The sequence below is a fragment of the Homo sapiens genome, chromosome 2, assembly GCF_000001405.40.
Source record: "Homo sapiens chromosome 2, GRCh38.p14 Primary Assembly".
NCBI classification, from domain to species: domain Eukaryota; kingdom Metazoa; phylum Chordata; class Mammalia; order Primates; family Hominidae; genus Homo; species Homo sapiens.
In genome coordinates this window covers 70,641,819-70,665,084 of record NC_000002.12, presented here as the reverse complement: position 1 = coordinate 70,665,084, position 23,266 = coordinate 70,641,819, and the positions used below count along the sequence as shown (strand labels likewise).

Here is a 23,266-nt window from a genome sequence, read left to right as displayed (position 1 = left end):
TCAGCATGCCGGGTTCCTTCTTGTGATGTGGCAACACACACACTGCATTCATATGTGCCCATCACACACACACCACACAGGTGTGTCACACACTCACTCGCACACATTCACACCCTCGCATATGCTCATGTGCACTCACACACACTTACACAAACACATTTGTAAACGCTCACTCCCACACTCATATACCACTCACTGTCACACACACTGGTTCGCACATGCTCACACCACACACACAGACACACTCATGGCAAACAATCTCACTTGCATACTCAAACTTACACACTTACACCACACACAACCTGCCCACTCACACTTGCACACCCTCACACACCCACACACACACTTGCACACTCACACACACTTGTACACACTCACACGTGCTCACCCACACACACTCCTTTCAGTTCCCGTCGTGAGAAGAAGCTGAACCGGAAGTTGGTAAGCCGAGGTCTGCCCACCATGGTACTGTGTTCTTCAGCCTTCTTAACTGTGCAGTGGGGAGGAGAGGCATCAGATAATATTTACCTTGCTTTCTACTTTTCAGTCTGTGGTTTTACAATCTCCCTGACTCTCACCCCATCCAGGCATCTGAAAGGTTGTGTGGAAGCAAGGTTGAGTGAGAGTGGGGAGGGGGAGAAAGGGTGGCAGGAGGGTTTGGTTTCTGGGGCCTGAGTAACTCTGGCCTTGAACATTCCCGCGATCCCGACAGATTCCCAGGTGGAATAAAGACCTGGGGGCCCCAGTGGCTGCTAGAAAGGGCTGACCAGGGGTCTTCCCCTTTTGACTAACATGTCTTGGAAATATGGGGTCTGTGTTATATAAGGAATTCCACTCTCCCTCTGCCTACTGGGAAGATATTCTCCATATTTCTTGGAGTTCCTCACTGGTGTAGAAAATGAAATGGGTTTGAGGACATGTAATTTCCATGTTTTTATTGGTGAAACTAAACTGGTTACAGCAATGCTTAGATGTCTCCACCAAGCTGTACACCTCACGCCTTCTCCTTTCTCTGTGTCTGTTTCTTCTTTCTTGCCTAGAAAAACTCTGAGCTGGACCCCAGCCGGGCCTCCTGCCACTTCAGACATTAATATCCATCTAAATTCATAGACAAGAGCCCAGAGCTGCCAGCCTGCAAGGGGGTGTTCCCAGGACAGGCCACATGGAAGGTGCAGATCAGAACCCAGTCCTTCCATCTGTCTCTGGTAGCCATCCCTCAACATCAGGCTGGCCCTCCCCTCGCTCTGGATTGATTTTATAGAATTCCCTAGAAATGGTTCTGTTAGCCCCAGGTGGAAGCTGTCACCTGAATGAAATCTTACAGGTCATATCTTTTGATCTTTTTCTAGAAGGTACTAAGAAGACAGAAACAAGCAAAGCCGCCACCACAGAGCCCGAAACAACCCAGCCGGAAGGGGTGGTGGTCAACGGGAGGGAGGAGGAGCAGACGGCAGAGGAAATCCTCAGCAAAGGCCTGAGCCAGATGACCACCAGTGCTGACACGGATGTTGATACCTCTAAGGACAAAACCGAGTCGGTCACCAGCGGCCCCATGTCCCCAGAGGGCTCACCTTCCAAGTCTCCCTCAAAGAAGAAAAAGAAATTCCGAACCCCCTCCTTCCTGAAAAAGAGCAAAAAGAAGGAGAAAGTGGAGTCCTGATTCATGACACCCTTGGGCTCCCTCCTGCCTCCTCTCTCTCCTCCCCTTCCCTTCTCCCATCTCTGTCCCTGCAAGCACAGGGCTAAGGAGGGATAGAGTAGGACCCTGGACCACATTCGGAAGGGGAACTTAGAGATCACCCGACCAACCCTTCGTTTTACAGTTGCCCAAGAGAAATCAGGTGACTTGCCCAAGGTCACACAGCTAGTTAGCGGCAGAGCCTGCACTCGAATTCAGGTCTCCTGACTTCCAGTCCAGTGCTCCTTCTACTACACAACACTGCCTAGTTGTGGGCTGCCTTTGTTTGGATGCTGTCCACCAATCTGAGCCTAGGGCAAGAAGGCCAGAAATGGGCCGTGAGCTCTCACAGGCTCAGACTAAATCAGAGGTCAAGGCTTCCCCTGAGTAAGGTCCATTTCTTCCCAGGAATCCAATCTCCTGTGGATGGAGCTATCTCTACATTTAAAAATCTCTTCTCTTTTCCACTTTGGGTCCCTGCCCTGCTGCTCAAAGTGACTAGCCAAATTGACCCCTCCAACAGAAAGTAATCTTTGTTCCCAAGGGCTGATGGCTTAGCTTGTACTACCCCAAACATTAACCCTGAGCTTTCTTCATGGAACCTCTTGAATGATGGATGGAAGAGCTATAAGAGGTGGTAGGCATAGGGGCAAGCCATGTAAGCTGAGGATTGGGGATGGTTTCATCAACATAAGAGGCCAGGAACTTGACCCCTTTGAATTGTGCATCTCAGGCACTTCAAAACTAAAACCAAATTTAGCATAGGAAAAAGTTGTTTAATGCTCAGGGCAGAAATTTGGGGAAGTTGAAATCCTCTGTTGGCTTTGGGTTGTATAAGGAGGATCAAAACAACAGAGGAAATGCTGACTTTCTAGCTTTGCATGACACCTGGAGCAATGCACTGTACCTGCCTCACTCCTGTCCAGTGGTCAGGTTTCCCCTGACCTTCCCTCACCCCCAGAAACACTTGCTTACAGACCGAAACTGGCATCTTACTCTTGGCACCTTGACTTGCACCCTCTGAGGTTCCAACTCAGTCATTCTTTGTCCAGCAGAGGAGAATCAGAAATGAGCCCTTCAGGATTAATCCTCTTGCACCAGCTCTCAGAGAAATGCTGGGTATCCCTGTCCTTGTCCCTATCTGTCCATCCTGGGGCCTGGTAATGGCCACAGTTATTGTTTTAAATGCCAACACTGTCTTCTCATGTTCTTCCGTGGGGCATTGATTAATGAGCATTTGTTGGCTCCTAAAAATTAGACAATCCATTCTCTTGAAAGCACCGTGTCTTGAAAGAATATTTTTCCTTTTGATCTGACTATCGTGAAAATATTTTTGAAAGTTCTTAATCATAGTTTTCCACTTTTGAGCACTTGCTATCTATAGACACTGTGCAGGCTTCACATACATTACATTCTTTAACCCTCACAGTAATCCTTTGAGGGGGGTAAGATCATTCCCATTTTGTGGGTGAGGAAATTGACCCCCTAAAATGATAATTGACTTGTCCCAGCTGACTTGGCTAGAAAGATCTGGATCCTGGATTTGAATCCAGGTCAGTCTGAGTCCAGAGCCCTTGCTCTTAACAGCTATGGTGAACAGACAACTTTAATCCCCAGGGGTGGTGGTTTTCATCCAGGATTTGTCTCTATGACTGTTCTCCATTGCATAATGTTAGCACGTGAAGCAAAGGTAGGGAACACCCTGTGCTCATCCTCATCACTGCACGTGAAGTTCCTGGTCAATGTGGACTGTGGTGATGCTACTGTGTGCCTCTGACAAAGGAGAGGCAAGAGCCTTCTGGTTGGGGCGGGAAATACCATCCATAGTTGGCTATTTCTTGAGAAGGAAGGAAACTGACCTAGGACCAAGGTAAACCTGACACTGTGTCTCTCTAGTGCAGATTCCTAACTGCTACCCCAGGCTCCATCTCTGTTCTACTTCCTGATTGGGTCAAATTTTAGGAGGGACAACCCACTCATGCCTCAGAAAAATCTGTCATATGGGAAATGCCTTTAAAAGCCAATCCCTTGATGCCTTCTTTTAAAAAGTAGATTTCACACTTATTCATTTATCCTTACATGGTATTTGTTAAGGATCCACTGAGCACCAGGCATTATGCTGACGTTGAAAGAGAGCCATCATTATGACTAGAATAATAAGTGGCAAACGATGTTGTGAGAATGGTGAACACGACCTCTGATGCAGCCTTTTGTGTGCGAGTTGTTCTACTTCGGGGGTGATGTTGATTGCCTCTGCATTCAACACACTCTATTCCCTTGACAATGAGGCCTCACTTAGGCCTCATTGGGTGGAGTCTTGCTGCAGCATTATTCTGGGAATTTATGCCATGGGCCCACTTTCTATTGATAGATGAACCTGTCAGTTGGTTCATTCCTCATGCATTCCAAAAACATGCATTGAGCTTGGGTCAAGGGCCAGGCATGAGGATAGGCATAGTTCCTGCCCTCAAGAAGTTCATGAGCATAGGAGGTGTATAGACAAATTGCAAAACAGGCAAGGGTACCAAGGTGGCATAAGAAAGCATCAATTAACTATCTTGGGGACCAGAGAAACCCTGAGAGAAGCAATGGCTGCTAAGGTTTTAAAACAAAGAGTAAATTTCCAGTAGAATGAAAGGATTGGCAGGGCATGCCACAATGAGGGAAGAATGTGCAAAGGTGTGGACGCATGAAATGCCATGATGGGTTCCGCTGAGCAACGTGGCATTGCCAGAGCATGATGTGGAAGCTCAGGGGTTGAGGGGTCCCTTCATAGGTAGGCAGGGCTGAATCCTAAGGAAACTGGTAGGAAGTGTGGAGGAGCTAGACTTGTCATGGAAGGGGTTTGGAGCCACTGGAGCCTTTAAATCAGGATAGAGTCATGATCAGAATTGCATTTTAGGAAAATCCCTTTGGTGGCTGAATGGAGACTGTGGACTGGATGGGCGTGGGATGGTGGCATGGGAGCTATGAGGCCTTTTTGAAATGTCAATACTAAAACATAGTTGATGGCCTGCTTTACACGATGTTTCCTCTACAGCAGATAGTGAGTTTCCAACACAAAATTTATTTCCATAAAAGTCTTTGGATAAAGCACCTTAAGAGGGATTTTCAACAAGGAGAGGGGAGCATTCAAAGAGCTAATGTTTCCAGTTTTATTTTGTCTTGGTGTAGAATTGCTGGGAGAGGTGTCCAGCCATCCTGCCATTTCTTCTTCCCTTGCACAGAATGTGGCACATTTAGCTCCAGGCTTGAGGACATGCACCAAATGCTACAGAAACAGACATGTGGTCCAAACAAATCTACAGGCTATTAGAAAGGAAAGGCCATTTTCTTTGGCTGTGGATAAAAGTTGGCTGAAAACTTTGACCAATATCTGACTGGAGAAAATGTGTATTCAAGAGCTCAGATTTGGTGGGCAGTAGGTTCATGTCTGGTTGAGCTACTGTGCTTGGATGTGCCAGAGAAAAGGGTAACATTTGAACCAATGTGCTGCTCTGTGGCTGGCTGAGCTGGGAAGTGGAGAGGTTTCTGAGCTTATTTCCATCGCAAGGCAGGCAGGAGGAGAGAGGACAAGAAGGATTAGTGGTTTCGCAGAGACAGGCTTGGCTCCAACGGCTCCTTGCGTAGTGTTGGCTGCACCCAACAGTGGTGTGAGAGAACCGTCCATACCATGTGACCTTCCTCCCAAACTGCAGAAAGAGACACCTTCTAGCCCAGATCTGGACTCCCTAAGAGCCTCCTGGCCTGCATGCAACCCAAGTAACTGTCCTACTTTGGCCAGTTGACCCCCTCCACTCTCCTATAACTAAAACAGGGTTCTTCCTCTGTGAACAGATAAGTTCTTTTTAAAGGACTTGGGGGAAATTGGATGAAGAGCAGTAAGTTCTTACAGTAAGAACCCCACTGTAAAGCACTGCCCTCTGCCACTGATCCATGTAGACTGAATTTGAATCCCATTCCCTGTGGATGATACCGTCACTTGCTCATGGTGACATGGCAAGACAGTCATTCAGATGTTTGGCATTGTTGTAGCAGGGCTACTGCTAGTGTGGGGGAAAATGCTATAAATCCACTTCTTTGATTGCCATGGATTTGAAAGAACCATTTGCCCAACAGCATGATTCGCCTCTGAAAGTCTAAAAATAATTTTCAATTTTTCCATGAAGGTATGTGGAGGGTAAACACACAGCCTACGCATAGGTCTGCATGACATGTTTTTTCTTTTTCTTTCTTTTTTTTTTTTTTTTTTTTTTTTTTTAGACGGAGCTTTGCTCTTTGTTGCCCAGGCTGGAGTGCAGTGGTGCAATCTTAGCTCACTGCAACCTCTGCCTCCCGGTTTTTCAAGCGATTCTTCTGTCTCAGCCTCCCAAGTAGCTGGAATTACAGGAGCCCGCCACCTTGCCCAGCTAATTTTTGTATTTTTAGTAGAGACGGGGTTTCACCATGTTGGCCAGGCTGGTCTTGAACTCCTGACCTCGTGATCCACCTGCCTCGGCTTCCCAAAGTGCTGGGATTACAGGAATGAGCCACTGTGCCAGCTGACACGTTTTTTCTTTTGTGTGAATTTTATGTTCTAGTTTTGGGACAAGGGTAATCAGTTCTTGACTAGTGAACAAATGAGAGAACATTTACCCCTTACTCATTTTACACATGCAGGTCAGCAGAAGCCCTAGAGTTGGTTGGCACAGTCGCAGTTGACTGAGCATAGAGGAAACAGGTCTTTTTACATTCTCTCTCATCACTGGAGCTCAGTTGAACTCTAAGACCTTAGCACTCAAAGAGTCTGAAAAGAAATGAGGGAGAGGCTAAATTTAAGCTCTCCACTCCCACAGAAAGGACAGGGCACCCTACAATCTAAAAGCCAGTGAGGCAGCCTATCATCTGTTTCACATCTGTTCTGAAAGGGATAGTTTAATGCAAGAAGTAAGAGGCCTGTAGTGACTGTAAACTCATGAAATGTGCACATTGGTTATCTGTGCACATTTCCACTTGCACCATAACATAAGAAAGCGTACATGGAGTGTAATTACTTCCAGAAGCCCCGTCTAACCAACCTATTCAGATGTGGCACACTTTCTGTCATAAATGAGAGACCACACGTAGAGCTCGGTCACCAAGGAATGCCCAACATCCCTTTACCTCTCACAATGAGCAGCCACGCTCACCGGGAAGCAGTGTGGGGACTTCAGTGGGGTGTCCCTTAGTGGAGAACACCTTTCATCATTTTTATAGAGACAATTCCCTTGAGAATGTAGGCTTTTCATCTTAGGAACAATTAGGAAGAATCTCCAGCTGGGAGTGTTCTTATGTATACAGAAACAATGGGTCGCATTGGTTCATACTTAGGTGATATTAGGTTTGGCTATATTGATGTTTGGTGCCACTTACCTTCTAGATTTTCCCAAAAGTTGGGTCATTGCTATGGGAAATTGGGGCCTGCAGATGGGGGAGAAATGATCATTATTGGTGCAGGGAAGGGGTTCAGGCAGAGCTGGAGTCTGAGGCTCAGTGTGAGAAAGCACTGGCAGTTTTCTAGTAGAGTCAGGTCCTGGGCTCCTCTCCTCACCCACTGTGTCCCGAACTGAGGCCAGCTGTGATCGGCAAATTGCTTATCTCTAGGTAGTTTAAAGAAAACGTAAGAGTTTGGGGGGTGGTGGGAGAATAACTGTAGAAAGACCCTAAACTCTTCTCTCCCCCAGCAAATTATCTTGTATAATGTTTAAAAACCCAAAGGCCAGATCTCCCCTTTTAACGTGAATCAGAAGGAGGATGGCAATTGGACCAAGGGCAGAGTGGCCACACTTGAAACACATTATAAAATGGGAATATATTTCAGGGAACCCCACCCCCACACTTCCACTCCACCTCACACCTGTTGGTCCTGCTTTGTGGGTGATTGATTGATACCCAAGGACTGCCCCACCTTTAAATTCCTGCAATTTATGCTGCAACCAACATCTTAGTGTTTGCTCTCTCCGGGAAGAGGCCAGGTGGGGGAGAACATACGGTCCAGAGCCTGAGATCGCCTGGCTGGGGTGCAGGCAAGCAGGAACCCAGTCTAGATAGAATGCAGTGTTCTCTAAAGCTATGGATGGTTTCAGTGAAATGTCTGTGTCTGACAATCGTCACGCAAGAGTACTTACTGTCTTCCCTTGTACATACATTGTCTGTGTTTAGCTTTTCCTAGTATTGTGAGGTTTCAAATAGGGGTTCCATGTAAATACTCTTTCTGCTACTGAAATGCCGGCCCCCTTGAGTATGCATCACCCCCACAGATGGTTTTGCCTTTCTCTATGCTAACACTTTTTGAGCCACTGACGTGCAGATCGGTGGTTAGTTTCTTGGGCTTTTATTTTGCAATTTTATATATATACACATATTATATATATATATATATTTATGGGTTGGTTTTGTATAGTTTTCTGTTTGAATCTCTGAGCACCAAAGCTGCCCTTTGATTTTCACGAGAACTTTCCAAAGCCACTTCCTGAGCCCTCCTGCTGCTTTGGTGTCTGACGGTGATGCTGCGGTGGCATCTCTGCCCGTGAATTTCTGTATGTGTGTGCTGTTACCTCACCTGCAGACATGACCCTAGTAAATCTAACGTGCTTGGCTTCCCAGTGTGTGTGCCCCATCTCTGTCGGCTCCTCAGCTCTCCTGGCTCCCAGGGGAGAAGTCAGAAAGGGGGCCCTGTGGAAACATGGACCACGCAAGAAAATTGTACCCTTGAGGCCATTTCTCACACACGGAAAGCTGAACATGTGTCTACTTGTGTTCTGATTTGGGAAGGGCGGTTATAAAATACTAGACTCTCCTGAAAAGGAAATGGCCATGTGGATTTGAAACAGCTCTGTGGAGGAAGCTCAGTTTAGGTGGGTTGGGATAGGGGAGGAGCATTGCACAAACACACATGTGGACGGCCCTGCAGGGCAGCAGCAGCGGCAGATCTATAGGCTGGAATGGAAGAGGGTGTCAGGCCAGAGTGAGAATCTTGGAGAGGGCTAAGAAGTCACCCCAAGGGGTGAAAGGAGAATGGAGAGACTAGGTGGGGAAAAAGGAAGAGAGAAAAGAGGAAAGAGAGCCTTTGGCTCCTCTTTATTCAAAAACTACTGTGGAAGCTCAGTATTCCTTGAGTATCCACACATATGTGGCAGGTGTTGTTTAAGTATCTCATGCATCGCACCCACTGAGCCCCCATAAAACCCAGAGGGTGATTCTGTTATTACTACTTACTTTACAGATGAAGTAAGGAGACTTTTCTTGGGCCACAGGTTAATATGTGGTAAAGCCCAAGTTCAGCTAAGGTCTTGTAGGTAACCAAGCCCTGGCTCTTTCCACTGCTGCTCACTGCCGGGTGCCCTGAGCACAAGAGCAGTCCCCGTCATTACTCTCAGGCCCACTGTTATGGGCACGTCTGCTTTCCACAGACTGCCTGTATCCAAGGGTAGAGCCCCTCTTCCTCCTCTTGCATCCAGGTATCCTGAAGTTTCCACAGCTCCTGTAAACTTGGAAACAAGGAACCCAGCCCCTCGGGTGCCCCAAAGCCATCAGTTTCTCCCTTGCTGCAGTCACCCAGGAATCCACCTGTAAGGAATATGACTTCTGTGTGCTCTCACAGCTGTGTACATCGATCAGGTCAAGGACAATAGTCAATCTGCTGACACCACTTTATAAAGCTTGCTACAGTTTAAGATTATCATGCTGAGACCAGCCTGACCAACATGGAGAAACCCCGTCTCTACTTATAACACAAAATTTGCCGGGCGTGGTGGCGGGTGCCTGTAATCCCAGCTACTTGGGAGGCTGAGGCAGGAGAATTGCTTGAACCCAAGAGGCGGAGGTTGCGGTGAGCCAAGATCGTGCCATTGCACTCCAGCCTGGGCAACAAGAGCGAAACTCTGTCTCAAAAAAAAAAAAAAAAAGATTGTCACGCAAACCCACAAGTTGAACTCTTCCTAAGTTTGCACTATGACTAAAGGGAAACTAATGTAGGAGCAGAGTGCCCTCTATCTGCCAGAGATATTAAGAAATTTCTCCAGCGCATATACAGCAGTACCCCCTTATCTGCTGGGGATACTTTCCAAGACCCCCCCATGGGTGCCTGAAACCTTAAATAGCACTGACCCCTAGACACACTATGATTTTTCCTATACATATATACCTCTGAGAAAGTTTATAAATTAGGAGCAGTAAGAGATTCACAATAATAAATTAGAACTATTATAACAATGTGCTGTAATAAAAGTACAATAAGCATTACTTGAACACACGCATGGTGATACTGTTACAGCCAATCTGATAATCAAGACGGCTACTGAGTGACTAGTGGGCAGGTAGTGTAGACAGCGTGAATACACTGACAAAGGGTTATTTGTGCTCCCAGGTAGATAGCACTGAACAAATGGGATGATGAGATATTGCAGCACACTACTCAGAACAAACACGCAATTTAAGGCACGGTGGCTCACCCCTGTAATCCCAGCACTTTGGGAGGCCGAGGCGAGTGGATCACCTGAGGTCAGGAGTTCGAGACCAGCCTGACCGAAATGGTGAAACCCCATCGCTACTAAAAGTACAAAAATTAGACAGGTGTGGTGGCGGGCGCCTGTAGTCTCAGGAGGTTACTTGGGAGGCTGAGGCAGAAGAATTGCTTGAACCTGGAAGGCAGAGGTTGCAGTGAGCTGAGATTGCACCACTGCACTCCAGCCTGGGTGACAGAATAAGACTCCATTTCAAAAACAACAACAACAAAAGCTTATGAATTGTTTATTTCTGGAATTTTCCATTTAATTTTCTTGGACCCTGGTTGGCCATAGGTAACTGAAACTGCAGGAAGTGAAACCCACAATTCACTACATGTGAAAGGAAAGTCAGGCTGGAGAAGAAGTGGGAAGGACCTACAGCTGAGATAGCTCCTACTCAGAGGGAGCAGTGAGGGTGGCAGAGAGATCGTCAGGAAAATGTGGTGGAGGCCCCTCCTGGTTTCAAGAACAATGAGGAAAGTGCTGGGGTTCACACTGCCAGGACCCTATTTGCAAGATCTAAGTAACGAGGAAGTGAGGAAGAGTCAGGGATGTGAAGCACCAGAATCCAGATAGGATCAAGGAAGGGCACCGTGGCCCCCCTAATCCTGGCTACCTGGATAAATATGAAAAAAAGAAACTTTCAGCCAAGTTATTGTGGATTCCACCACTGCCACCCAGATAACTAGATCTCAAATCTGGCAAAATGTAACCATAAGAAATAGAAAATGTTCCTTTTCTCTTCATTTGTGCCTTTGCACAAGGGGGATGCACATCTCTGACAGGAGCGAACTCTAATCTGGATAGAGATCTCACTGTGTTAAGAGTAAGCATGGAGAAAAATCACGTCACAATTTAGTAGCTTAAAAGAAGACCAAGCTGGGAAACTAGAACACATTGTCCTCAATGCCACTGAGTTACTGCAAGAAGCAGGAGAATGGTTCAGGAAATCTCTATTAATATACCATTTACCGAAAAGATCAGCCAGTTATGAAAAGGGAGCACTTTAAGTCAAGAAACATTTTTTTTTAGTGATGAAAAACACTGCCATATGTAAACACAAGGCATAAGCCATCAATAGCAGGTTGAATGTTATTTATCATAGATGAGAACATAAAGACGTGTCTAAACATGGAAGGATCCCGAGCCCATCCCTTGAAAAAAATTAGACAATCGTGTCCAGTGGATTGGAAAATGTATATAAGTGAATAACTCAAGAAGGAGAAAGGCATTTGACTAGAATAAGGTAGCAAGCAATGAAACCACATAAATGTATTGCTAAGTCTAATTTTTCATTAATTTAACCAACTCAATGCAAATGTTTAAAAGTAGTTATTAGGATATATATATATAATAAATAATAATTTGGAGCAGCAGGGAGTTAAACATGCTAAGTTTCTCATTATTGGCAAAAGAGATTTAATAGATTATTTTTTAAATTGTTGGAAGAATATTGGCTCAATTACATATAAAATTGTTGTATTAGTTCAGGCTGCTATAACAAATGGCCAGGGATGGGGTGGGTCAGACACCAAACATTTATTTTTTACAGTTCTGGAGACTCAAAGTCCAAGATCAGGATGTCAGCGTGGTTGGGTTCTGGTGAGGGCCATTTTCCAGGCTGTAGATTACCGGTTTCTCCTTGTATCTCCACATAGTGGAAAGATAGTGAGAGAGTTCTCACCATCTTTTGTAAGACACTAATCCGATTCATGAGGGCTCCACGCTCATAATTTAACTTCCTCCAAAATTAGGAGGTCCCACCTCCTAATACAATCACATTGGGGATTAGGATTTCAACATATGAATTTGGGAAGGCGTAAACATTCAGTCCACAGCCAATTGTGAACTTAGAGATGGTTTATAAGAATTTAAAAGATAATCCTTATTAAAAGGCTCTATATCTTCCAAATCACTAAAGAGAAAAATAAGAATAGGAATTCAGCTAAGATGGAGTAATAGACTAAATTTACCATCCTGCCTACAATAACCAAAAAATGAATAAAATATATGAAACAATGGTCTTCAAACCACTTCACATCCAGCAGTAAAGAACAATGATGCCGGAGAGTTGAGAAATCCAGGAAGTGACCCCTATCTATGATTGTCCCAGCTTACTGCCTTAATAGAATTTCTAGGCCATGGCACAGGAAAGGTGAATCCGGGCAAACTCAGTTAAGCAGATGGAGCTGAGAGTCCTGGGAGAAGAAGCTAGCTAGAGTTTGCAGGATAGGGTAGCAGAAGGGAGAGACTGTACATAGATGCAGATGTGCCCCTCTGAGTATTCAGATGCATACCAATCAGTATATGTATGTGAGGAAACTACCCAAGACTTAAAACCAAAACAAAACAAAACAGCCTACCCAAAGCCTTAGAAGTAACACTGCCCAGTACCAACGTGGGGTCAGGAATAGTGTCTGTCCCTTCCAGGCTGACTGAAAAACTTCATGATTCATGGGTCATTGGATGGAGTACACTTGAGAGAACTCTGTCTTGCCTTAGTAGTGGGAAATAATTAGCACTAGAATAAAGACTGCTCTGGTCCTGTCTAGCAAATCTTAAACACAAGACCCAAAAGGATCAAACTGTTTCTAAATAACTGCATGTCAGAACTAAGGTCAAGATTATTGACAAGAATACAGAAACATGTAGCACCCAACAAGAAAAATGTACAACATTCGGTATCTAACAAGAGATTATCAGACTTGCAAAGAGACAGGAAAATGTGACTAACAATGAAGATAAAATATATATCAATCAAAGCTGACCTAGAACTAATTCAGATGTTGGATTTGGCAGACGTATTATTATAGGTGTATTCCATATGTTCAAAAAGTTAAGTAGAGACATGGAAGATATTAAAAAAAAACACAAATCAAGCTTCTGGAGATGAAAACTACAATGTGTGAGATGAAAAATACACTCAATGGAATTATCAGCAGATTAGACATCGCAGAAGAAAAGGTTGGTGAACTTGAAGACATAGCAATAGAAACTATCCAAAATGAAACACAGAGAGAAAGAGAATTTTTAAAAATTAACAGAGCATCAGTGAGTTCTTGGACAATTTCAAGCAGCATAATATATGTGTGCTTTCAGTTTCTGAAAGAAGGAGGCAGAAAAACAAATTGAAGAAATAATGGCCAACATTTCCCCAAATTTCATTAAAACTATAAAGCTACAGATCCAGGAAGCTCAATGAACCCAAGCACAAGAAACGAAGATAATCACACCAAGGCACATCATTGACAAATTGCTCAAAACCAGTGATAATGAGAAAATGTTAAAAGCAACCAAAATAAAAAAACTATGCACACAGAAACAAATACGGAGGTACAAGCAGATTTCTTCTCAAAAACAGTACAAGTGAGAAGACAATAAAATAACACCTTTAAAGTACTGAACAAGAAACTGTCAACGTAGAATTCCGTGCCTAGTACAAATCTCTTTCAAAAGTGAAGATGATTACACAGCTGGGCTTTTAACAATAACAAAAAAGTGAAGATGAAATACTTTTTCAGATTTACAAAAGCTGAAAAAAAAATCCATCATCAGAAGCAGCACCTTCAATAAATCTTAATGTTCTTCATGTAGAAGGAAAATATCCAATGGAAATGTGAATCTGCACAAAGGAGGAAGAACATCAGAAATGGTAACTACAGGAGGAAAGATGTAAGATTTGGGGGTTATTTAAATTTCTCTCTCCTTTTTTTCTTTTTTCTTTTCTTTCTTTCCTTCCTTTCTTTTCTTTCTTTCTTTCTCTCTTTCTTTCTTTCTTTCCTTTCTTTCTTTCTTCTTTCTTTTTTTTTCTTTTTTTGACAGAGTCTCACTCTGTCACCCAGGCTGGAATGCAGTAGCACCACCATGGCTCACTGCAGCCTCAACCTCCTGGGCTCAAGCGATCCTCCCACCTCAGCCTCCCAAGTAGATGGGACACAGGTGCACACCACCACACCTGGCTACTTTTTATATTTTTTTGTAAAGACAGCATCCCACGATGTTGTCCAAGCTGGTTTTGAACTCCTGGGCTCAAGTGATCCTCCCACCTTGGCCTCCCAAAGTGCTGGGGTTACAGGTGTGAGCCACTGTGCCCACTCTAAATTTCTTTAAAGGACAACTGACTGTATAAACAAAAATTACATTGAGGCATGGGGTTTATAACTTGTAAAAACAAAATGTCTGACAACAATAGCACTAATATTGGGGGAGGGAAATTGAATATACTACTGCAATGTTCTTCTGCTATACATGAAGTAATATCAGTTGAAGGTGAAGGTATGTTGTGATAAGTTAAAGATATAAATCCTATAAAACCTAAAATTGTCAGTAAAATTATAAAACAGTTACAGCAAAGTTTTTCATACTCAGCACTATTAATATTTTGGGCTGAATATTTCAGACTGGGAGAAAATATTTGCAAAGCATATATCTGATAAAGAACTTGTATCCAGAATATATAATAAACTCTTAACATGGGCTACTCAATGATATCACAATAAAACCCAATTAAAATGGCAAAAGATTTTCATATACACTTTACTAAAGAAGACAGTTGAATAGCAAATAAGCACACGAAAGGATTATCAAATGAAAATGAAAGCCACATGGGATCCCACTACCCACCCATTAAAATGGCTAAACTTAAGAGCAAAGACTATACTAAGTGTTAGCAAGGATGTGGGGAAACTGGAAGTCTCATACACTGCTGATGGTAATGTAGACAGTACAACTTTGAAAAACAGTTTACCAGTTTCTTAAAAAAAATTAAGCCTATATCTACTAAATGATCTAGCCATTCCACTTGTAGATGTTTGCTCAAGGGAAATAAAAGCATATGTTCATACAAAGATTTGTGCACAAATGTTCATAGCAGTTTTATTTGTAATAGCTAAAAACTTGAAGTGACCCAAATTCCCATCAACTGGTGAATAAACTGTGATATACCTATATATTGGAATAACACTCCACAATGAAAGGAATACATTCTTGATGCACGCTGCAATATAGATGAATCTCAAAATAATAATGCTCAGAGAGAGAAGCCAAAGAGAAGTATATACTGTATGATTCCATTTACATAAAATCCTAGAAAAAGTAGACTAATCTAGAGTGACAGGAAATAGATCAGTGATGATAGGGGTGGGTGTCATGTGGGGCGGAGGGATTACTAAGGGGCACGGGGAAGCCTTTGGGGGTGATGGAGATGTGCGTTACCTGTGGTGATAGTTTCATGGGTGTACACATATATCAGAAATTGTTATATACATTGATATACATAAATATGTGCTATTTATTGCATGTCAACTGTACCTCCATAAAGCTCTTAAAAATTAATTTATACACCAAAAGTCAGAAAAAAGGGGGGAAAGGCAAGGGAACATTTTAAAAATGAAAAGCAGAACACCAAGTAGAAGCATGACTAGGCCGAGCGTGGTGACTCACGCCTGTAATCCCAGCACTTTGGGAGGCCAAGGCAGGAGGATCACTTGAGGTCAGGAGTTTGAGACCAGCCTTACCAACATGATGAAACCCCATCTGTACTAAAAATACAAAATTAGCCAGGTGTGGTGGTATGCTTCTGTAATCCCAGCTATTTTGGAGGCTGAGGCAGGAGAATCACTTGAACCTGGGAGGCGGAGATTGCAGTGAGCCAAGATAGTGCCATTGCACAAGAGCGAAACTCCATCTCAAAAAAAAAAAAAAGAAGTATGACTAAATATATGTTTTCAACATAAATATGAATGGACTAAACTATTATAATTTTTAAGGGAGGGTTTCAGATTGAGTCAAAAAATGAAATCCATTGTCTGCTGTACAAAAGATACATATCAAATAGCAGAAATGTAAATGATAAAGGAGTGAATGTGCAAAGAAACAATTAAGCAAATGTAACGGAAGGAAGAACAGGACAGGGTCAAAGGTTTAGGGGCCTAGTTTACACAAAAAGCCCAATCCACAGTGAAGACATCACAGTAGAAAACTTTTTTTTGTGTTGAGTAACATACTGTACACTGCAAATAGCAACACCGTATTTGAATGTATTTAAATATCTGAAGCAAAAACAGCTGGGGGAATCTTAGTCTGTTTTTTCTGCTAAACAGATTACCTGAGACTGGGTCATTTATAATGAACACAGATTTATTTCTCTCACATCTGGAAGCTGGGAAGTCCAAGATCAAGGCACCAGCATTTGGTGAAGCCTTCTTTCTGTGTCATCCCATGGCAGAAGACAGAAGGGCAAGAGAGGGTGAGAGAGAAAAGGGGGTCTTTCTTCACTCTTTTATAGCGAAACTATTCCCATGATAGCAACACTAATCCATTCGAGACAGTGGAGTCCTCATGGCCTAATTATCTCTTAAAGATTCCACCTCTTAGTACTGTTACAATGGCAATTAAATTTCAACATGAGTTTTGGAAGGGATATTCAAACCATAGCAGTGTATGAAGGAAAATAGACAAATAAAAATTATAGCCAGGAGATTTTAACATGTCTCTCTGCCCCTCGTAATTGACACAAGAAATATATACATATATGAATATAGACTATATATATGAATTTAGACTATATATTCATATATTTTCATATGCATGGATTTATATATGAATATAGAGGATTTGAAGAATGTAACAATAAAAGCATCTTGATTTAATAGACGCATATATATCCTTTAAGCAGAATGCACATTCCTTTTAAATGGCCATGGGATAGTTACAACATGATAATTCACCAGGACTCGAGAAACCTCCTTGCCTTAACATCCTCCTCATACCTAATGCTGGTCGGCTGCCTACTGCCGCTACCAACGATGCCCACCAGGGGACGACGTTTCCTTTCTTTCCTTCCTCTGCAGAAACCGGTCCAAGCAGGATGCCTTCCTTTTTCTGACAGGCAGCCCCCAGCAGTACCATCACAAACCTTGGTCTCTTCTTGTCACCAGCAAAGGGATGAAGGATAAGTGGTGAGTCTCCTTACATTCAAGACCTTAGAATTCATTTGATTACTATGTCTGAGCAGCTATTGACATCTATTAATAATATCTAGTGCTCGCTGCTCAACTTCCTAAGAAGTCCTCATCTTTTGGGCATCCAGAGTGATGGCCCCAGTCCACCTGGGTCTGTTCTCCAGGCCAAGAGATCATGCAGAATAGTGTACAGGAGCCCGGGGCCCCAGAGCCACACTGTTTGGCGTGAACCCTGATTCAGGTTCATGAGCTCTGTGCCCTTGGGTAAGTCACTTAACGTCTCCAAGCCACAGTCTTCTCATCTGCAAAACAGGGAAATAATCAATATGGAAAAAAATCAGAATCTAGGGGAATAATTTTTGATGATTTAAGATTATTTTAATTTTGAATTTTTCAGTGGGGACACCATAACATTTTCCACTGATTCAGACCTCTAGACATTGGTTTCTACCATTTTTAAAATTAATGCATGCATACACACAAACACATGTGCACGCACACACACACACATAGACACACAACCGCACACATCCAAATATGCATGCACACACACACAGCCACACTCACATCATTGGCATCATTCTAAAATAAACTTAAAATTGATTATCTCAGTTTACATTGTTTTACCTGTTCAAAATATCCTGACTTCAGAGTTAGGAACAGGAGTGCTTCTCTAGAGGTGGGTCTTTGCTTTGTACAATCTCAGCATACAACAAAGATCATTTCTGGCCAACACAACTGCTCTGAACCTTTGGCGGTGCAGGGTTTGCATATCATTGGAGGCTCAATACTCTAGACATCGAAGAGTTTTACATCAAGCTAAACATTTTAAGTTAAATATATTCTATCTTCCTAGTTTTACAAATTCGTCATGAGCTAGAAAGCTAGGTTCAAATGTAGAGTTCAGACTTGCTGGAGCTCCCCAGAGGAAAATGGCAGTGTGAGGAGAGGACCATTATCCTCCTGTTCCCAATGCTGTGTCCATCCCGTGACACAGGTGGCCTTGTGAGCACACATGTGGACACCCAGAGTGCATGCCCAGGCTTCACCCATACCCCCAGGCAAATGGCTGCTTTCTGGACACCCTGTGAGTCCCTGGGAAAATGAACTCTGGGAAGAACCTGTGTGGACCCTAGAAGTAGGCTGCAGCTGTTTGGGCAGGGAATTTGGGGTCCTAGATCACCAGGGCACAGTGTAGCACCAGGTGAGCGTGTCTCCTTGGCCCCGCTCACTCCACCCTCATGAAAGGCGTGGCCAAAGAAAGGGTCAGGCAGGGCCCTCTGAGGCACAGGACCCAAGCCCCTTTTATTGGGGTCTAAGGTCAGTATCGCTTCCTGAAGTCCCAAGGAGAGGTCAGGAAACAGTAGTGACTCTCTGTGAAGTTCCTGAGAAGGCAGTGCAATATCCTCATTCCCATTCATTAAAAAACAAAACCTGACCACAGGCTTGGGTGGGAAATGTTTTGTTATAAACAAGGCAAGACAAACGCTTGCCAAGATTTGTCTAAGACAGCTGGTTGATTTGTCAGGTTAACGAGGGCTGGAAAAAGTAAAGCCTCCTTTTGCCTTCACTGGGGTCTAAAGGCTGCAAGAATTTCCTCACGGTGATACTGACATGCAGTGACACCAGGAACCCTCTCATGGTGTTAAAATCTTAATGGTGAGCCGTAGCAATGCTCTCCCTCCCATTCTTGGGCACTGGAGCATGATACACACAGGCAGGAAGTGCGCTGGCCTGTTGTTGGGTCACTGTCATTCTGGCTTTCTCCCTTGTAGGGCTAGAAAACTAACTTTATCAGATCACCCAGAGGTGATCCGGCTCAGGATGACAACTTATTTGCCACAGATTGCACTTTTGGGTGGCTACTTCCTCAATGCATTTAGGGAGGCACCTTCATCGTATCTGTTAGCCATCTCCCAAACACTGCCACTCCTGAGAGTATACCATAGGTCTCGAATCCCAGCCTCTGTGCGACAATTCTCATCACTGTCACTAGAGGCAGCAGCATTTGCTGACCTGGCCTTTTGCTCTAGGCTTTATCCTAGCTGTATTGTCTATAAATATCACCCATAACCCATGAGCCAGCTTGCGGGGCATATGGGATCATGTCTCTTACTTTCTTTCCACTCACTGTTCGGGCTCCACACAGCCATAGTGACAGAACAGCTAGCACTTCCCTCTTGAGGCCTCCCCCAGACGCACCTAGAGTTGTCCTAATGCCCAGGGGGTGACTGAGTCCAAAACCCAGCTCACAGGCTTCGTGGCTCCTGTCACCCCAGGGCGCTATCCCAACATCATGGTGCTGTCTCCTCTCTCAGCCCCCAGCTGTCCTTGAGGGAGACAAGACCTAGTGGCTGTTTTCCTGGATGAGAAGGCAAGCTCCTCTGAGGTGCAGGATGCTCTTCTTCCTCCTTGTCACTCCAGGACCTAGCAAGGCACCTTGGCTTATGCAGGGTAGAGGCTCAGACATTTATAGAACTAATTCAGAGCTATAGAACATTAGAGCTGGAAGAAGTTGTTGAGATCACATAGTTTACTGCTCCTCCTCCATTCTACAGATGAGGAGACTGAAGCACAGAGGTGAAGCAGCTTGCCCAACGTCACACTGCTGCTTAGTGATAGAGGCAGTGCTAGACCCCGGGGCTCCTGAATGTTACTGTTGGAGGCTCTTAACCCACTGGGATCAAGAAGGTGTCAAGAGCTAGACTCTCCCTCCAGGAGAATGAACACAGACACAAAACCTTGCATATATGCTTCCGGGTAAAGAACCTGCCTGCATTTTGGTACCACTACGTGCTGGCCTGTCCTGGGCATGTTATATCATGAGAAGGCAGGTAAGTGGGGCTCTGGAGCCAGGCTGCTTGGGTTCAAGTCCCAGCTCTGCCACTGCTAGCTGTGTGATTATTTAATGCCCTCACCTGTGGGAGGCTCAAGGCTGTAATCCCGGCACTTTGAGAGACCAAGGCAGGCGGATCACCTGAGGTCAGGAGTTTGAGACCAGCTTGGCCAACATGGCAAAACCCCGTCTCTACTAAAAATACAAAAATTAGCTGGGCATGGTGGCAGGCACCTGTAGTCCCACCTACTCGGGAGGCTGAGGCAAGAGAACCACTTGAACATGGGAGGTGAAGGCTATAGTGAGCCAAAATCACACCACTGCACTCCAGCCTGGGCGACACAGCGAGATTCTGCCTCAAAAAATCAAAACAAAACGAAACAAACAAACAAAAAAACCAATCGTGATGCGCAGCTCTTTGGGTTATTGTAAACATGAAACAATTTGATCTGTTTAAAGCTCCTAGGCTGGGCGTGGTGACCTGTAATCTCAGCATTTTGGGAGGCCAAAGTGGGAGGATTGCTTGAGCCCAGGAATTTGAGAAAGCCTGGGCAACATGGTGAAACCCCGTCTCTACAAAAAAAAAATTAGCTGGGCATGATGGCGTGCACCTGTGGTTCCAGCTACTCAGGAGGCTGATGTGGGAGGATGACCTGAGCCTGGGAGGTCAAGTCTGCAGTGAGCCAAGATCACACTACTGCACTCCAGCCTGGGGTACAGAGCAAGACCCTGTCTAAAATAAATAAATAAAGCTCCTAGAACCCAGCAGGACATGGAAGAAGCTCTGTGTCAGCTGTCAATATTATTATAACCACCAAGTGAGTCCCTAAATGAAGAACAACAAGCAGCCACAATTTGAAATAAGAAAAGGATGTTGAAATCCTGTGATGAATGTTTGATTTCATCTCCTCAAGTTTATACTCCAGCCCTGGAAGCCAATCACAAAACAATGACTATCTTTTGAGGAAATCTTGCTTTATGTCTTAAATTCTCACTAGCGACATAGAATATTCAATAGACAGTGGTTTCTTTTGCAGAAAGTTGAACAAAAAGCTTAAAAATAACGCGTATCTCTGTCTTCAGGGAATTGGCTCAGGCCCAGTCATTTATGTTTGGTGAATTGGCAGCACCCTCCCAGCCTTGCTGTCCTGCCACGAGGCCTCCCGGGGGCGCTCTTCTCACACAGGAATCATCTAGGTTTTCTAAATTCTTCTACGTTCTTGCCTCAAATCCTTCTAGATTTAGCCTGGACCACATAGCGAGACCCTGTCTCTTAAAAAAAAATTTTTTTTCTTTTTCTTTTTTTTTTTTTAGTTAGCCAGGCGCGGTGGCCTGCACCTGTAGCTACTCGGAGGCAGTAGCTACTCGGAGGCAGGAAGATCACTTGAACCCAGGAGGTCAAGACCAGCCTGGCCAACATGGCAAAACCAGATTTCTACAAAAAATACAAAAATTAGCTGGGCTTGGTGGTGCATGCCTGTAGTCCCAGCTACTTGGGAGGCTGAGGTGGTGGGAGGGCCGCTTGAGCCAGGTAGGTCAAGGTTGCAGTAAGCCAAGATCGTGCCACTGCACTCCAGCCTGGGGAACAGAGTGAAACCTTATCTCAAAAAAAAAAAAGAGAGAAAAAAAAATCCTTCAAGATTGCCCATTCCTCACTGGGCACGCCACTCATTCAACACGACTTGCAAGGATACCTTTTGGATCTGGCCCTAACTATGCCTCCAGGCTCACCTGCTGGACTTGAGGACACCATCCCGTGTCCTGACCATCCTGTGTTCCTGTGCCCGCCTCACCTACTCCTCACCTGGCCCTTCAGTGCAAGTGTGGTCTCCCATGGCTCACTACCAGAAGTGGGGGGATCTCACCATCCTCCACCCAGTGTAACCATGGTGCTCAGCCCGGTGCCCAGCAAACCTGCTTAGGGGGAGAAAGCTCTGAAACCACAGGCACTCTGAGGGGCTGCCTTTCCTGGTGCAGAGGGCACAAGGCCCTGGAGGGCTTTCTCTCCTGGCTGGTCATTCACAGGTACTAGAGCAAGGATCAGGCTATGGTGCTGTGGAATCTTGATGGCATTAATTTGAAGTGCATCATTGTTCATTACAAAAATCAATCTCCTTTCCAATAGCAAAAGGAGAAAAGACACTTCCCCTCCCCACCCCTAATTTTTTTTCCACCATCAAATAATGTTCCTCGGCCCCAGGGAGGGGTAGAAAGCAACACCACAGAAGAATGTTGTTAAAATTTTCTTCCTACTATGGTGACTGCGTTCCCAGAACTGATTAAGGCTAGAACGGTTTGGCTTTCCTAGGCTGAAGGTTTAAGAAGCCAAGTGAGGGGTTTGAAAGGAACAAGACAACATTTTAGTCTAGGACATTCTATGCTGTTCCTTCCATATCATCAAGTCCCTAGAAATCTGACTAAATCTTGCACAAGCACCAGCAGCAGGGAAGTTGGCTCTGAGATGCCACAGCCTGACCTGGTGTGGAAGGCAGGATGGGCCCAGACTCTGCTCCCTCGCCTGCCCCTGACTTCTGTGGAAGGCAGAACTTTCTGAAGAACCTCCACTTATTAGACTTTCTTTTCAGCCTATCGGCCCTGCCTTTGCAGCCAGCAGACTTGCATTCATACACCAGCACCTCTACTTACTGGCAAGGTCAATCATTCTCTCAAGGACTTGGCTTTTTGATCTGCAGAACGGGCTCTGTGGCCACCCTGGTCTCCTGAGGTACTGTGTGGGCCTCCTGGGATAAGGCAGGTGCAGCCCTCATACAATACCTGGAGCCAAGTGCTTCCCAAAGTTCCTGTTTATTATTATTATTATTATTATTATTATTATTATTATTATTTCCATTTTTAAACAAAACAAAACCAAAACTCAGGTTAAGGAATTTGCCTAAGAACCACTGCATTGACAGGGCTGAGGCTGGAACCCCATGGAACTCCTGGTTCCAGCCCAGGGCTCTTTCCCAGGGGCCTGAGATGTCCTGCCTCAGTGACAACTGCACGATTCCTCCTCCATTCAAAGGGAGGAAGGCATAATGAATGTTTTCAGGATTCCAGATGCTGAGATGAAAGGAAGCTCCAGGATGTCATTACCCAGCATGTCTATCTTGTCACTGCCTTTGAAGTTTATTTTGGTGGCAGCGCATGACGGTTTCCCTGCATCTGGTCCCTGTGGCCACTTCACTGGGCCCTTGACCCGCCTTCGCCGTTGCCAGCCCATGAGCGTCGCCCTTCAGGCCCTCCTCCAGCTGGAAGATGGGGC

At 44.6% G+C, this 23,266-nt stretch overlaps 1 protein-coding gene across 4 annotated transcripts in view; it reads left to right on the top strand.

The window, feature by feature from the left end:
- ADD2 (adducin 2) overlaps positions 1 to 8,301 on the top strand; it is a 111,417-nt gene extending 103,116 nt beyond the window's left edge. For all 4 annotated transcript variants that reach the window (NM_001617.4, NM_017488.4, NM_001185054.2 and 1 more), the window contains one exon: positions 1,350 to 8,301. In NM_001617.4, the coding sequence (NP_001608.1) occupies positions 1,350 to 1,660 (311 nt within the window). In that variant the 3' untranslated portion in view covers positions 1,661 to 8,301. The remainder of the gene's footprint in view (positions 1 to 1,349) is intronic.